A 16,591-nucleotide genomic window follows, 5' to 3' on the forward strand; every position below is an offset into this window, starting at 1 on the left:
TAGTAAGACTAATCAAGAGAAAAAGAGAGAAGGGAAAATTAAAAATACTAGAAATGAAAAGGGAGACATAACTCTATATCCTCATATATTAAAAAGATAATAGGATGATATTATGAGCAACTTTATAACAATTAACTAGAAAATTAGATTAAATGACCACTTTTTTAGAAATCACTTACTAAATGGACACAAAAAGAGAGACAATCTAGTCTTACAGCTATTAAAGTGAATCTTATATAAAAGACCTTCCCATGCCTGGCTGGGCGTAGTGGCTCACCCCTATAATCCCAGCACTTTGGGAGGCAGAGGCGGGCGGATCACAAGGTCAGGAGTTTGAGACCAGCCTGGCCAACATAGTGAAACCCTGTCTCTACTAAAAATACAAAAAATTAGCTGGGCATGGTGGTGGGCGCCTGTAATCCCACCTACTCGGGAGGCTGAGGCAGGAGAATCACTTGAACCCAGGAGGTAGAGGTTACAGTGAACAGAGATCACACCACTGCACTCCAGCCCAGGTGACAGTGAGAGACTCCATCTCAAAAAAAAAAAAAATCTTCCCATGCCTTCGGGAGTAAATTCTTTACAATATTTAAGGAAATAAATAGTACGAATCTTACACAACTATTCGAGAGAATGGAAAAGGAGAGAATACTTCCCAACTCACTGTTTGAGAGTGAACAAGTTCATTTCCAAGAAGAAAATTATAGGGTCAACTCTCCCATAAATACAAAAGAAAGAAAAAGAGAAAGGGAGAAGGAAGAGAGGGAGGAGGGAGGAAAGAAGGAAGGGAGAAATAAAGGGGAAAAGGAGGAAGGAAAGGGGGGAGGGAGGAAGGAAATACCGGAGGGAGGGAGGAAAGAAGGAAGGGAGGCAGGAAAGAAGGAAGGGAGATAGGCAAAGTCAAACCAATCGACATCAATAAAATATAATAAGGATAGAACATCATGTCATCCATAGGGGGGTTTATTCTGAGAATGCAAAGTTGGTTTAATATTCACACATATGAAATAGGAATGTATCAGAGTTTGATTTCCTGCCTTCAATGAATTCCTGCCATAGACTGTCTCTGTTCTTAGTAAATATAAAGTGAAGTACTTAGGGGTAAAAGGACATACTATCTCCAATTTAGTCTAAAATGGTACCAAAAATAAACAACATGCTCATATATATGTGTGTAAAGAAAGAACGATAAAGCAAATGAGGCAAAAAGTAAACAACTGGTAAATCTGGGTAAAGGGTTGTAAGAGTTTCTTGTACAAATCTTCAATTTTTACATGTTTTAAATGATAACCAAAATTAAAAATTATCCAAAAAAAGTGTAATTCACCTTGTAGACAAAAAAGAAGAGAAAAATCATATGATCATTTCGAAATGCAGAGGATAATTTGATGAAATTCAACATTCATTCATGACATAAATGCTTGGCAACCTAGAAGTAGAGGGACACTACTAAAACTGATGAAGGGCATCTATATAAAACCTACAGGAGACATCATATTTAATGGGAAAATGTTGAAACTTTTTCTCTGAGGCAAGGAGTGAGATAATCATGCTACTGCCACAAGTTATATTCAACAGGACCTCCAGCAAAATACAAACCTGCCCTAGAGAAACAAACAAAATGCCTCCTCACTGCAGGCTTCTTACTCACCCACCAAAAAAAGATGGAACTAAACTTAGGTGGTCTTTGCTAATCTGACATTAGATGGGCCATTACCTCTCTCCAAGGATGAAGTGGGTGAAGGGAAGGAAGTGTGCTTGGGGAAACTCCTTCCGGATAGAAACCAAGATCAAAGAGCAAGGTTCTCCTCTAACAATGTTCAAGGCTCTTTGAAGAAAGTTACAAAATATTATCAAAAGGCATAAAAGAAATCCTGAATAAATGGAGGATTAGACCGCATTCATGAATGAGAAGACTACATATCATAAAGATGCCGATTCTTTAGAAACTCTCCACAGTTCTCTAAATCTGATGAGTTCAGATAAAACTTGACGTGCTGATCCAAGAAAAAAAAAATGTATATGGGAGAACAAATGCCAAAAATAGCTAAAGTCCATTTTGAAGGCAAAGAACAAGGAGCCAGTCATAGTGGCTCACACCTGTAATCCCAGCACTTTGGGAGACTGAGACAGGAGGATTCCTTGAGCCCAGGAGCTTGAGACCAACCTGGGCAACATAGCAAGACCCCATCTCAAAAAAAAATTATCAATGAAACTTTAAAAGAAAGGAAACAACCTAAAATATAGAAATAACTCTCAAAATTCACCATAAAAGGACAGATAATCCAAGTAAATAATGGGAAATACTTGAACAGGCATTTCACAGAAGAAGACCTACAGATGGCATGTGAGCATGTGAAGGGACTTTAGGCTTCCCCACCTATGAGGGAAAGGCATGTTGGAACCACAATGGGATATTTCTGCACACCTATAAGAGTGACTTATAAAATATGGTGGCAACCCACATGTTGACGAGGCTGTGGAGAAACTGGCTCACTCATACCCTGCTGATGCACACCAGCTCTTGGCATTTCCCACCCTGTTTTTGCCATCCCCACGTGTTAAGGGGGTATCTCGTTGCCATTTTGTACATTTCCCCGATGACTGGTGAGGTTTGGCATCTCTTGTGTCAAGGCCCATTTTGCTTTCTTCTTTGGTAAAATGTCTTCCATTCATTTTCTTGTTGGGTCATCCATCTCTTTCTTCTTCATTTGTAGGATTTTTGCTTGTTTTTACTAAATACTAGATGAGTCCATATCTTCTCCCACTCTGTGAGTTGCCTTTTTCATCTTTTGTGTGTGTTTTTTAAAAACAACCAAAAAGGGTATTCTCACAAGCTTGTACATGCAGAGAATATCTCTAGAAGGACAGGCAAGAAACTGGTACTGGGGGCTGCTACTGAGGAGGGAAGTGAAGTGCCGGGGGAAGGAGGTGTGGGAGATACACTTTTCTCTGTGTCCTTTTGCATACTTTTTTTGCAAATCATCATGTGCAAAGGCATGTGTTTTGAACTTTGAGACAACGGAAAGGCACCAGATAGCCATCATGAAGTAGGTGCTAACTTTTCCTCTAATTGTATTTCACAATAGTTGCAGTGGCAAGGAAAAGGCTAAGTGTCCCTGTCCTAGCCAGTACCTTTCATGATTGAGCCTGTGCCCTCTGGTCCTCTAAGTTCAGGAAATGCATCCCCTGGCATTCTAACTGTGGGGCAGCACAGTGTAGCATGGTAGCAATGAGAGCAGCTTCTGCAGCCAGACTACCTTGATTGTCACCCAGCTCCTCCACCATCTCTTGTATGACCTCAGCAGAGTCACCTGGCCTTTCTATGCCTCTGCTAAGGAACACGGCAATTCCTACTGTGGTCGATGTCCCCTGATGGTCCCCGCCTCTGTGACTGAGGCGATGGGACCCCACTTCCAAGATGAGGTGACAACGGACTGTGGCTTCCATCCTAGCACACCTTCTCTTGCTGACTTGCTGTGAAGAGAGTGAGGTCCCATGTTGCAAGCTGCCCAGTGGAGAGGCCCACGTAGCAAGGAACTAATGTCTCCAGCCAGCAGCCAGTAAGGAACTGAATCCTGCCAACTAATCCTGCTAACAGCCAGTGAGTAAGCTGCGAAGTGGATCCTCCCCCAACCCAGCCTTAAGATGGCTCCATCCCAGGATCATCTTTGATTGCAGCCTGGCAAGAGACCCTGAGCCAGAGGGACCCAGCTCAGCCAGGCCCAGATTCCTGAGCCACAGAGCCCTTGAGATAATCAATTGTTGTTTTAAACCTACAGAAACAACAAAAAGAAATAGAAAGACTAGGCAATGTCTCTCCTGAAAAATTTATCATTCACCTGTCCAGAGCAAGGGGTCAGACAGACCAATGGATTATACAGAACCCCTTCCAGTGAGGGAACCCTATGAAGTTCTCAAAATAAGACAGTAAATCCTTGCTGTTTAAACAAAGTGCTCAAGGCAACTGGTGATTTGGTGAATTTAATTTCCTGGTTAACTGGATGAATCTTTCTGATGGGATCTTAGAGCTTCGTTGTACCTCACAGATCATTACACACATAAGGAAGCTGAAGCTGAGAATCATTACCTTCTGCAAGTCGTGAGGCTTTCTCATGGCAAACCCTCGCGCAGTGCCTGCCACACAGTAGAAGCTCAATAAATAACTGTTCAAAGGAGGAAGGAAGGGAGAACAGGTGGCAGGGAGAAAGGAAGGGATTCTTTGCCTCTTTATTGGTGAAACTTCTTAAATTCTTGGCTGCAGTGCAAGGAAAGCTTGGACTCCCAGTCAGGAGACTTGAATTCAAGTCCCAGCTCCACACTTAGATGTGTAGCCTGGGCGACCCCTTGACCTCCCACTTCCCACTTTACACCTTACCTGCCCAGGTGTAAAACAGGAAAAAAATGATACTTCCCATGTGGTATACAGATTTTGCTCTCCTTATTTCTAAATTGTGTTGTCCACTGCATTATCTTAAAAAGCAAACTATAAAAACATCCGGGCCGGGTGCAGTGGCTCATGCCAGTAATCCCAGCACTTTAGGAGGCCAAAGGGAGCAAATTGCTTGAGCCCAGGAGTTCAAGACCAGCCCAGGCAACATGGTGAAACCCTGTCTCTACAAAAAATGAGCCAGGCTTGAGGAATGTGCCTGTAGTCCCAGCTACTCAGGAGGCTGAGATGGGAGGATCGATTGAGCCCTGGAGTTCGAGGCTGCAGTGAACCAAGATTGCACCACTGCACTCCAGCTGGGGCAACAGAGCAAAACCTTGTTTCAAAAAATGAAAAAGAAAAGGGAAAAAAAAAGAAAATATCCCCCCAGCACACAGGAGAGGGTTGCTATTTGGGAGAGCGAAATCCATTTTCATCTTCACCTCACACTGACACAAATTTTAAGTGAATTTCAAAGTCCTGTGTAAATTACAGTACATGTACACTGTATAATATTACACAGTTAAGAAGAATAAGGCAAAGCTATGTGCACTGGCATGGAAAGATCTCCAAAACTAGTGTCCTGTGAAGAAAACCAAGCTGTTGAATGATATGTACTGTATACATGTCTATTTTCCTATATAAAAATAAATGCCACATACATGTGCACGCACACACACACACACACACACACACACGCCTCAAATTGAGAGAAACTCTGAAGAATTCACCCATCAATTGTTAACAGTAGTTGTCTCTGGGAAAGGTAGTGCAATTGTGTGTGAATGTGGTATTTTCATTTCTCATGAAAACTCACACACACGTTTCTTGAATTTTTTAATGTGTACGAATTAATTTCAAATTTTAAAAACAAAATATGTTAAAGTTAAACGTAAATAATAAAACCATTAAAAGTTGTACATAAATACCTGATCTCCTCCACATGAGAAAGAAAAAATTTTGTAAGCATAAAAACAATGCGAAAAAAATTATGAAAGAAAATATTTCTATTTTCAGGCACAAGTGGTTCACGCATGTAATCCCAGCACTTTGGGAGGCACTTGAGGTCAGGACTTTGAGACCAGCCTGGCCAACATGGAGAAACACTGTCTCTACTAAAAATACAAAACTTAGCTTGGTGTGGTGGCGGGTGCCTGCAGTTCCATCTATTTGGGAGGCTGAGGCAGGAGAATCACTTGAATCTGGGAGGCAGAGGTTGCAGTGGGCCAAGATCGTGCCACTGCACTCCAGCCTGGGTGACAGAGCGAGACTCTGTCTCAGAAAAAGAAAATATTTCTAGAATTAATTACATTAAATGCTCTGATGTCAAAAAATAAAGAAAATTTAAAAGTAAAGAAAAACGCTTAGCCTGGTGTGGTGGTGTGCACTTGTAGTCCCAGCTACTTAGGAGCGTGAGGTGGGAGGATCGCTTGAGCCCAGGAGGTTAAGGCTGCAGTGAGCCATGTTTGTGCCACTGCATTCCAGTGTGGGCAACAGAGAAAGACCTCATCTCTACTAAAAATCAAAAGCATTAGCTGGTCATGTTGGTGTGCGCCTGTGCTCCCAGCTACCTGGGAGGCTGAGACAGAAAGGGCACCTGAGCCCAGGAGTTCAAGGCTGCGGTGAGCTGTGATTGCACCACAACACTCCAGCCTGGGTAGCAGAGTGAGGTCCTCTCTCAAAAAGAAAAAAAAGAAAACCAGTTAACAAAAACTGGAAAATAATTTAGCACCAAATATGACAAGGAGGCAAATCCTTTCTATTATAAAGGATTACAATGAAAAAAGAAAAAAAAAAAAGCAAGCCCTGCCCCTTCAGCCCCAGATTCTGGTGTGTAGCACACATTGGAAATGATCACCCATGCCCTAATTTTACCGACTAGAAAACGGACATGAAGCTGGCGAGTCACATGCCCCAAGTAAACAAGCTGCACACCCTGAGCTCGCCTGTCCCAGCAAGGCCTCCTGAGAGGGGACGGGGGACACCAGCCGCTTTCCACCCACCCCTCCATCACCTCCCCTGAAATCCTCACACCCTGCGTCTTCCCTGGATCTTGGCAGAACCCAAATTCCTATCCTGTTTGAAATTCTTTCTGCTATTTCAGATTTCTCTTTGGGGATGAATTGAGGTCTGCCTCCGAAAACGAGAAGTCCAGGTATGGAAAAAAAGTCTCTAGAATTTGCCACACACTGGGCGGCCTCTGGATCCGTGGGAAGCTCAGTCCTTCTTACATTTTTATCTCAAATGATTTCACTACCCTTCCAGCCTCGCAGGGAGAACCCGTGGCGTGTCGCCGGCTGCTCTCTCTTCCTCTACCTGGAAGGGGCATCGGGGGTTGCCCGGTTCAGCCCCAGAAGGAAAGTGAAACTGACAGGAGAGAAACAGCCTCTCCAAAGTCACATGGACACGAGCCATCATTCCCAACCAACCAAAGGACAGGGCGTCAGCCCGAAGACCCTGTGTTCATCCCAGAACGGCTACATTGGACATGAATTTTGAGAATCAGTCTCTGAGGTTCTAGATGGTGCTTTTGTTTCCATCAGTGACTTTCCTGTGCCCACCCAGAGCGGAAAACAGGGATTCTATGAAGAAGTAGGAGCTCTCTCCCCAGGCCCCACACACAGCCTGGCAACCCTGCCTCCCATGGGCACCGCTACTCCTGCCCCAGCACTGACTGGGCATGGGAGGACTCCTAAACCACCACCACCACCTCTCCTAATGTCATGGGCAAGAAGGGGGGAATTCCTGCACCTAATAACTCAAATCTGGTAGCCAAGCTGATTTGGGACAGGGATAGACAGTTATTGTTAAAGAGAATATTAGATTAAAGTGTACAATTAAAAGATCTTGTCAGCCATGTGCGGTGGCTCACGCCTGTAATCCCAACACTTTGGGAGGTTGAGGTGGGTGGATCACTTGAGGTTAGGAGTTTGAGACCAGCCTGGCCAACATGGTGAAACCCTGTCTTTACTAAAAGTACAGAAATTTAGCAGGGCGTGGTGGTGCACACCTGTAATCCCAGCTACTCAGGAGGGTGAGGCAGGAGAATTGCCTGAACCCTGGAGGCAGGGTTGCAGTGAGCCGAGATCACACCACTGCACTCCAGCCTGGGCGACAGGGCAAGACTCCATCAAAAAAAAAAAAAATACTAATCATCCCTTCAAGCACTTACTTTAACATTCAACAAACATCAGGCTCCTAGCAAGTGTATGGGAATTAAGTGTGGACAGATTATTAGTATGCCATCCTTGCCTCTCGAACAGGTGATGACTTGTAAGAATGAACTCTTCAGTGTGGGGCAGGGGACGGAGCATGCATTAGAGTCAGACAGAACTAGATAGAGTTCTAGACAGAGCTCTGCTGCTTCCTAGAATAAGACTTGAGCACATTATCTAATCTCTCAGTATTTATCTATAAAGTTGGCATAATAATGAAAATCTCCCCCAGATCTTGCAAGGATTCAGTAACGTAGTACCGTGCTTGGCACAGCATAGTGTTGGGTACATATTAGACAGTTAAGATTCCAGCCTCCAATCCTCCTCCTTCAGTTTCTTCATCTCTAAAGTTTGCTATTGTGTTGGCTTTACCTACCTATAGCTATGAACTGAATGTGTGTATGTCCCCAAAATTCATATGTTGAAGCCTTACTCTCCAATGTGACAGTATTTGGAGGTGGGGCCTTTGGGGGATGATCAGGTCATAAGGGTGGGGCCCTGATGAATGGAATTAGTGCCCTTATGAGAACAGACACAAGAGCACTCTCTCACTCTCTCTGCCACATGAAGATACAGTGAGAAAAAGCCACCTGCCAACCAGGAAGGGGACCCTCGCCAGACTCTGGATCGGCCTGCTCCTTGATCTTAGACTTCCCAGCCTCCCACCTTCAGAACTCAGGAATAAAATGTTGTTGCTCAAACCACCCAGCCAAGCCAAGCCAAGACACTATCTCACAAACCCAGACTTCCTGACACATAAACCCAAGAGCACCACACAGATACATTTCCTCATAAGGACTGTCAAGTCTCTGATTGAAAAAATTAAGAATTCTATTTAAGGTGGGTGGATAGACTGGGAATGTGAAAGGACTCTACAAAAATGAATGATACATCTTTGCTTAGATCTGGAATATGCTGGAAAATACTAAGTCACAGACCAAGTCCTCCTTTGCAATGTCAGCAAACTTTGACCCAAGGGCCGAATTTGTTTCCCCTCCTGCCTATTTTTCTCTTACACTGGAACACAGCCATGCTCATTCATGTACGTATTCTCTACAGCTGCTTGTACGCTAAAACCCCAAAAGTGAATAGTTGTAACTGAGCCTGTATGGCCTGCAAAGCCTAAAGTATTGACTATCTGGCCCTTTCCAGAAAAGTTTTCAACCCCTGATCTATTGGAATACATTTGAGTCTTCTATCGTAAGTGTCCATAAATCTGAGGCTGAATGCTGGAAATTGAACTATTTAGCTCTAGAGCCAGTTAAGGTTTACAAGGCCCAGTGGTTGGAAATTGAGACCAAATGAATCTGAAGGTGAGAACCAAGAGGTTTCCGCCTCATCACTGTGTAGTTCTGAAGCGAACTGTAGATCAAAAGAAGGCTTGAAAAGAAAAAAGCAACAAAATAAAAATGAGTTTTTTAAATGCTAGGCAGCAAAATGGAATTGAAACAGGACTAACCTGAGAGTTAGCCAGCTGTGCCGTAGTGCCTGGTCTGCCACCAATGAGGTGTGCGATGGGGGCAATTGCTTCACTTCCCAGGGGCTGTTACATGATTTGTAAAATGAAAGGCTCACTCATTCACCAAACATTTCTTGAACTCCTCCTAGGGGGAGCTTGCTGTCTTAGACACGAACGTCTGGACCCGCTAATCTCTAAGATGCCTTTCCAGCTTTAGAGCTCAATTTAAAGTGTTGGGTGATACCGGAGCTTTGTGGAGTGGCTATGCGAGGTGCCTGGAGTTAACATTCACACAGTGCTTTTGGTTCTGCGGCATTTTAATGATATTCACCATGGTAGTAATTTATCGCCATCTCTTCTTTCCAAATAGATAGCGTATTAGTGTAAGTCCAGTCCATCAAGCAAGCTTCTTCCATCTGCGAGGGAGGAGGCAGCCCCCGGACAGCTGTGGTTGGGACCTTCACCTTGAATTATGTAACAGTAGCAGGGGATGGGCAGATTGGCCTTCTGAATTATGCTTCCTTAGACTGGCATTTACATGAGTTCGCGGACCCTAAACACTCACCAGCAGACACAGCGAGGATGGCTTTATCCCTGGAGTAATTAATCCATGTAGCAAAGGGATCTCCAAGGTGCTGCCAACAGTCTTGGGATAATTGAGACCTTACAGCAAATAAATCCCCCAGAATCACGACCGCTTTCACCATCCCAAAGCCCCAAAGTGAGAACCACCTTCCAAAAACTCAGAATCCAAAGCCTGTTAATCCCCTTTTGTGGCAAGCCCATCCTCCTGGCCTGCCTGCCCTGCTCTCCTCCCCCATAATACCCATTCAGGGCAGTGACCCCAGTTGGCAACCCGGAGCCGCGTGGGCTGTGGTCAAACGACACCCAGATGAAAACTGCAGCTGATGGCCTGGCCTTTCGGGTCAGTAGCTGCTGTGCACAGCTCTCTCCCTGCCTCCTGAAGTTCAAATGCCAGCCTGATTTCTATCTGGAAGCATCCCAGCCCAAACATGGAACAAAAGTTCCCTCTGACAAGCCCATTTGGGTTCCAAAGTATGTTTTTATGTTTGTTGGCAAATAGAACTGTCACCAGCAACAATAACAACACTGTTTTCCCTCCACTGAAGCTACTTCATTTCTTCACATTTGTTCCAGGGCTGGAACTGGACAGATGAATAATGTAGGCTAGGCGGCTGGCCCAAGTCCTGACCTCGTGCCTCCAAAAGCAAACACAGAGGTGAAAATGGAGACTTGTTTGTTTGAACTCTCACTGCCTAATTTAAAAAAGAAAAGGCAAAAAGAAAAACAAACCTCCCACCATCCTATTTCATCAATGTAGACACTGATGGGTTTTGTTTTGTTTTGTTTTGTTTTTCTTTTCTTTTCTTTTCTTTTTTTTTTTTTTTTTTTTCCATGTCTTACTTTTTGAAACATGGAACTACAGCCCTCTACTGGTGCAAGGAATGAAGCCAATTTCTCAATCATCGAGGCTACCCTGCCATCTTGTGGCCATGTGAGGGATGCACACGTGTAGATCAATTTCTCAGCATCACAAAACAGTCTAGGTAAGACGTTGGAAGGGTTCTTCAAAATATTCACATGGACTTTCATTTAAGACATTTCTTGTATCGTTTGGGGAAAACATCAATGGGATTTGGAGTCAGAATGTTGGTTCCTGCGTTTAAGCTCTGTCAGTGATTTGTGACATCATCCCTGAGCAAATAATTTCATTTTTAGGAACCTGTTTTCTCATCTGTAAAATGGAGGTCATAATAAATGTTTGATTCTTGGAGTTTTGTAGTGTTTACATAAGATCATGCATATGAAGAGTGCCTTGTCCACTTTAAAATCATATGCACATGAATATATTAAAAATCCCTAGAGAAGTAGTTTCTATCATCATACTTGGTAAAACTTTAGAAACTTGAAATCGGTTTCAATGACTAACCTTACTATAGTCTAAAGCCCTGGCCTCAGAATAAAGAGAAGGACTTTACACTGTCTCATGCTTTCCTAAAGATACATACTGCCAAGTCCTCTCCGTTTTCATTTTTCTGATTTAAGTCAAGTCAGTTTCTTCGGCCTTGCTTCACGGGGCCAGCCAATGAATAATGAGGAGTGTAGATGCGTCTTGGGAGGTGAAATAACTTTGCTTACATGGAATCGCAAAGTGCTCATTAGTGTGGGGGCTTAGGTATTTGGCTCCCTCGTCTTTTGGAAAAAGCCCAAACCAGACACAGCAGCTAAAGGAGCCCTCATAGGATGTCTGTGCTGCACGATGCTGACGCAAGATGACTCATCACACACTAGCTGGGTTTGGCCACTGCTTCTGTGCAGCTGTTTGCAGAAAGCCAAAAATTTCTGGTGCCAAGCTGGGGGCTTGGTGAACAAACCCAAATGTTACTGTCCTCATCTCCTGCTAAATTTCAGTCCTGCTCGGGCCGTGGCCCAACCAGTGTTAAGTCTACTGATGAAAGTCCAAGTCACTGTCCTCTGTGCCCTCTCGTTACTGTGTCCTCAGGTTACTGAATTTATCATTCATCTCACTGATGCATAAGGTAGGCTTAGGGTACATTTGGCAGCAGGATCAATAGTTTTGCAAAGAGAAAATAGATGCCAGCCAAAGGAACATCGAATCCTTGGGCGAATGATGAGGACGGATGACTCATGTCCAGGCCATCTTCCCTCCGGGCTGGGCTCCGCTGTCTCCATACTCACCTTCTGTCTCCAAGTTTGGTTCACTAGGCCCATCCTCAGGAAGCCTCCCTTAGGATCCAGGATGAGTCACCAGCACCCCAAGTGTGCTCGCTGGTGAGGATTATAGGAGGGGGAGGTAGGCTGTGTCTACAGGAGATCCTGGGGCACATCTGGGGGATGGAGGTGAAAGGTTATCCCTCTGTCCTACAGAATGAGGGTCCCCCTTCAATCCCCTAGAGGTGACATGCCAGAACGCCTGAATCAGAGAAGGCACTCATTCCTCCCACCTAACTCTTTTTATTTTTTTTAATACTGAGTCTTGCTCTGTCACTCAGGCTGGAGGGCAGTGGTGGGCTCCCAGATCACTGCAACCTCCGCCTCTCAGGTTCAAGTGATTCTCCTGCCTCAGCCTCCCGAGTAGCTGGGATTATAAGTGCACACCACCATGCCCAGCTAACTTTTGTATTTTTGGTAGAGATGGGGTTTCATCATGTTGGCCAGGCTGGTCTCGAACTCCTGACCTCAAGCAATCCACCTGTCTTGGCCTCCCAAAGTGCTGGGATTACAGGCGTGAGCCATTGCACCCGGCCTCTTCCACCAAACTCTTACAGGGTTATCCCAGAATCTTCCAGAGACACCACCCTGTGGATGCAACCTGGGGCTTTCTTCTCCACAGGCCATGTCTGAAAATAGGAGGTTCTTCCTCTCTTCCACACTGGGAGAGAGATAGCAGTCAGGGAGAGAGAGCAGACGGGGAGAGAGATAGCAGTCAGGGAGAGATAGCAGTCAGGGAGAGATAGCAGTCAGGGAGAGAGATAGCAGTCAGGGAGAGAGAGCAGACAGGGAGAGAGATAGCAGTCAGGGAGAGAGATAGCAGTCAGAGAGAGAGAGAGCAGACAGAGAGAGATAGCAGACAGGGAGAGATAGCAGACAGGGAGAGATAGTCAGAGATAGATAGCAGATGGGGAGAGATAGCAGTCGGGGAGACATAGCAGTCAGGGAGAGAGATAGCAGTCCGACAGAGATAACAGACAGGGAGAGATAGCAGTCGGGGAGAGATAGCAGTCAGGGAGAGATAGCAGTGAGGGAGAGATAGCAGTGAGGGAGAGATAGCAGTCAGAGAGAGAGATAGCAGTGAGGGAGAGAGATAGCAGTGAGGGAGAGATAGCAGACAGAGAGAGAGATAGCAGTGAGGGAGAGAGATAGCAGTGAGGGAGAGAGATAGCAGTCAGGGAGAGATAGCAGTGAGGGAGAGAGATAGCAGACAGAGAGAGAGATAGCAGTGAGGGAGAGAGATAGCAGACAAAGAGAGAGATAGCAGTGAGGGAGAGAGATAGCAGACAGAGAGAGAGATAGCAGTGAGGGAGAGACAGCAGTGAGGGAGAGAGATAGCAGTGAGGGAGAGAGATAGCAGACAGAGAGATAGCAGTGAGGGAGAGATAGCAGTGAGGGAGAGAGATAGCAGTGAGGGAGAGAGATAGCAGTGAGGGAGAGTGATAGCAGTGAGGGAGAGAGATAGCAGTGAGGGAGAGAGATAGCAGTGAGGGAGAGAGATAACAGTGAGGGAGAGATAGCAGTGAGGGAGAAATAGCAGTCAGGGAGAGATAGCAGTGAGGGAGAGAGATAGCAGTGAGGGAGAGAGATAGCAGTGAGGGAGAGAGATAACAGTGAGGGAGAGATAGCAGTGAGGGAGAAATAGCAGTCAGGGAGAGATAGCAGTGAGGGAGAGAGATAGCAGTGAGGGAGAGAGATAGCAGTGAGGGAGAGAGATAGCAGTGAGGGAGAGAGATAGCAGTCAGGAAGAGATAGCAGTCAGAGAGAGAGATAGCAGTCAGGGAGAGATAGCAGTCAGGGAGAGATAGCAGTGAGGGAGAGAGATAGCAGTGAGGGAGAGAGCAGTGAGGGAGAGATAGCAGGCAAAGAGAGAGATAGCAGTGAGGGAGAGATAGCAGGCAAAGAGAGAGATAGCAGTCAGGGAGAAAGAGAGCAGTCAGAGAGAGATAGCAGTCAGGGAGAGAGAGAGCAGTGAGGGAGAGATAGCAGGCAAAGAGAGAGATAGCAGTCAGAGAGAGAGATAGCAGTCAGAGAGAGATAGCAGTAAGGGAGAGACAGCAGACAGAGAGGGATAGCAGACAGAGAGAGAGATAGCAGTGAGGGAGAGAGAGCAGTCTGGGTTTTCCTTCAGGAAGGTGCGAGAAGGTGAGGTTTTCTTTAGAGGTTTTTCATGTTCTTTTTAAACACTTAACATGAGCCAAATGAGAGTGGGAATTAAAGGTATGATGGCCAAATCTGACCTGAAGCACCCACTGTCTAACAAGAGCGGAACTGGTGATGGCCACAATAATACTGCAGACATCTCTTGGAGTTTTCTGTAATACATGGAAAAACACCAGCCTTGGAAACTCAGACATCTGGGTTTGAGTGCCAGCCACGAGGCTAAAAGATTCCAGAAGGCCAGAGGGGGAGAGTGTCAGAGTCCACTGCTAGACTGACTGGATGTCTTCACATACAGGACTGGCAAACGGACACTTGTAAGTTTGGAAAATTTGACAGCAAAACAACAGAGAAGGGGGCACTGCCAGCTTTAAATACAATCCAATGAATTAATTTATTTGGAGAAATAATCTCATTTTAGGATATTCTTTTTTATTTATTTAGGATAAACCTATTAATAAAACGGGTAATATGTTACCTGTCCTCTAAATCTGATCTCACAAAAGTGTGAGAAGGAGCAGGGGTCAGGGGATTAGGGGGAAGGGGTGGAGTTTAGGCAGAGACTAGAGTCTCTTCAGACTTTCAGTTTTCTAGATCATATATAAATCACTTTTTTAAAACTTTTATTTTAGGTTCAGGGTTACATGTGCAGGTCTGTTTGTTTATTTTTGAGATGCAGTCTCACCCTGTTGCCCAGGCTAGAGTGCAGTGGCGTGATCTTGGCTCACTGCAACCCGCACCTCTCGGGTTCAAGCGAATCTCCTGCCTCAGCCTCCCAAGTAGCTGGGACTACAGGTGCGTGACACCACTCCCGGCTAATTTTTATATTTCTAGTAGAGACGGGGCTTCACCATGTTGGCCAGGCTGGTCTCAAACTCCTGACCTCAGGTGATCTGTCTGCTTCAGCCTTCCAAAGTGCTGGGATTACAGGCATGAGCCACCAGGCCCGGCTGTGCAGGTTTGTTACGCAGGTAAACTGTGTGCACTGGGGTTTGGTGTACAGATAATTTTGGCACCCTGGTAGTAAGCCCAGTACCCAACAGATGCTTTTTCTGCTCCTCTCCCTCCTCCCACCCTCCACTCTCAAGGGGGCCCCCGTGTGTGTTGTCCCCCTCCTAGTATCCATGTTTTCTCATTGTTTAGCTCCCATTTATAAGTGAGAACGTGTGGTATTTGGTTTTCTGTTCCTGTGTTAGTTTGCTTAGGCTAATGGCCTCTAGCTCTATCCATGTTGCTGCAAAGGCCATGATCTCATTCATTTTTATGACTGCATAGTATTCCATGTTGTATATGTACCACATTTTCTTAATCCAGTCTGCCGTTGATAGGCATTTCGATTGACTCCATGTCTTCACTATTCTGAATAGTGCTGCGATGAACATATGTGTGCGTGTGTCTTTATGATAGAATGATTTATCTTTGGGTGTGTACACAATAATGGGATTACCGGATTGAATGGTAATTCCATTTTTAATTCTTTGGCAAATCACCACACTGCTTTCCACAATGACTGAACTAATTTACACTCCCACCGGTAATGTATAAGCATTCCCTTATCTCTACAACCTCACCAGCATCTATTATTTTTTTAACTTTTTAATTATAGCCATTTTGACTCCTGTGAGATGGTATCTCACTATGGTTTTGATTTGCATTTCTCTAATGATTAGGAATGTGGAGCATTTTTTCATATGATTGTTGGCCACATGGAGGTCTTCTTTTTAAAAGTGTCTGCTCATGTCCTTTGCCCATTTTTTAATGAAGTTGTTTGTTTTTTGCTTGTAAATGTAAGTTCCTTACAGATTCTGGATATTAGACCTCTGCTGAATGCATAGTTTGCAAATATTTGCTTCCATTCTGTAGGCTGTCCATTTACTCTGTTGATAGTTTCTTTCATTATGCAGAAACTCTTTAGTTTAATTATATCCCATTTGTCAATTTTTGTTGTTACTGATATGGCTCGGCTCTGTGTCCTTACCCAAATCTCACCTTGAATTGTAATAATCCCCATGTGTCAAATGGGGATTATTTGGACCAGGTGGAAATAAGTGAATCATGGGTGTGGTTTCCCCAAGCTTTTCTCATGAGAGTCAGTGAGATCTCACAGGATCTGATGGTTTTCTAAGCGTCTGGCATTTCCCCTACTGGCACTCATTCTCTCTCCTGCTGCTCTATGAAGAGGTGCCTTCTGCCATGATTGTAAGTTTCCTGAGGCCTCCCCAGCCCTGTGGAACTATGAGTCAATTAAACCTCTTTTCTTTATATTTAAATTATCTAGTCTCGGGTATTTCTTCATAGCCGCGTGAGAATGAGCTAATACAGTTACAATCGCTTTTGATGTCTTTGTCATGAAATCTTTGCCAAGTTCTATGTCCAGAATGGTATTTCTGAGGTGATCTTCCAAGGTTTTTATAGTTTCAGGTTTTACATTTAAGCCTTTAATCCGTCTTGAGTTGATTTTTGTACATGGTGTGAGGTTGGGGTCTAGTTTCAGTCTTCTGCATATGGCTAGCTAGTTCTCCCAGCACAAGGAGAGTGCTGGGAGAACAAGGAGTCCTTTCCTGATTCCTTGTT

The 16,591-nt window shown here is 44.7% G+C and overlaps 1 long non-coding RNA gene across 2 annotated transcripts in view, besides 1 other annotated feature; it reads right to left on the reverse strand.

Annotated features, from left to right (window-relative positions):
• Positions 1-16,591, reverse strand: part of LOC105373262 (uncharacterized) — a 94,430-nt gene that overhangs the window by 31,858 nt on the left and 45,981 nt on the right. The gene's annotated exons all lie outside the window — the stretch shown is intronic.
• Positions 10,457-10,683: a silencer, noted in NCBI's record as "fragment chr1:244436364-244436590 (GRCh37/hg19 assembly coordinates)". NCBI's record gives its function as "represses an EF-1alpha promoter that drives an FKBP-Casp9 reporter gene in an ReSE screen in K562 erythroleukemia cells {active_cell/tissue: K562}" and the evidence as "EXISTENCE:reporter gene assay evidence [ECO:0000049][PMID:32094911]".

This window comes from Homo sapiens, chromosome 1 (genome assembly GCF_000001405.40).
Source record: "Homo sapiens chromosome 1, GRCh38.p14 Primary Assembly".
NCBI classification, from domain to species: domain Eukaryota; kingdom Metazoa; phylum Chordata; class Mammalia; order Primates; family Hominidae; genus Homo; species Homo sapiens.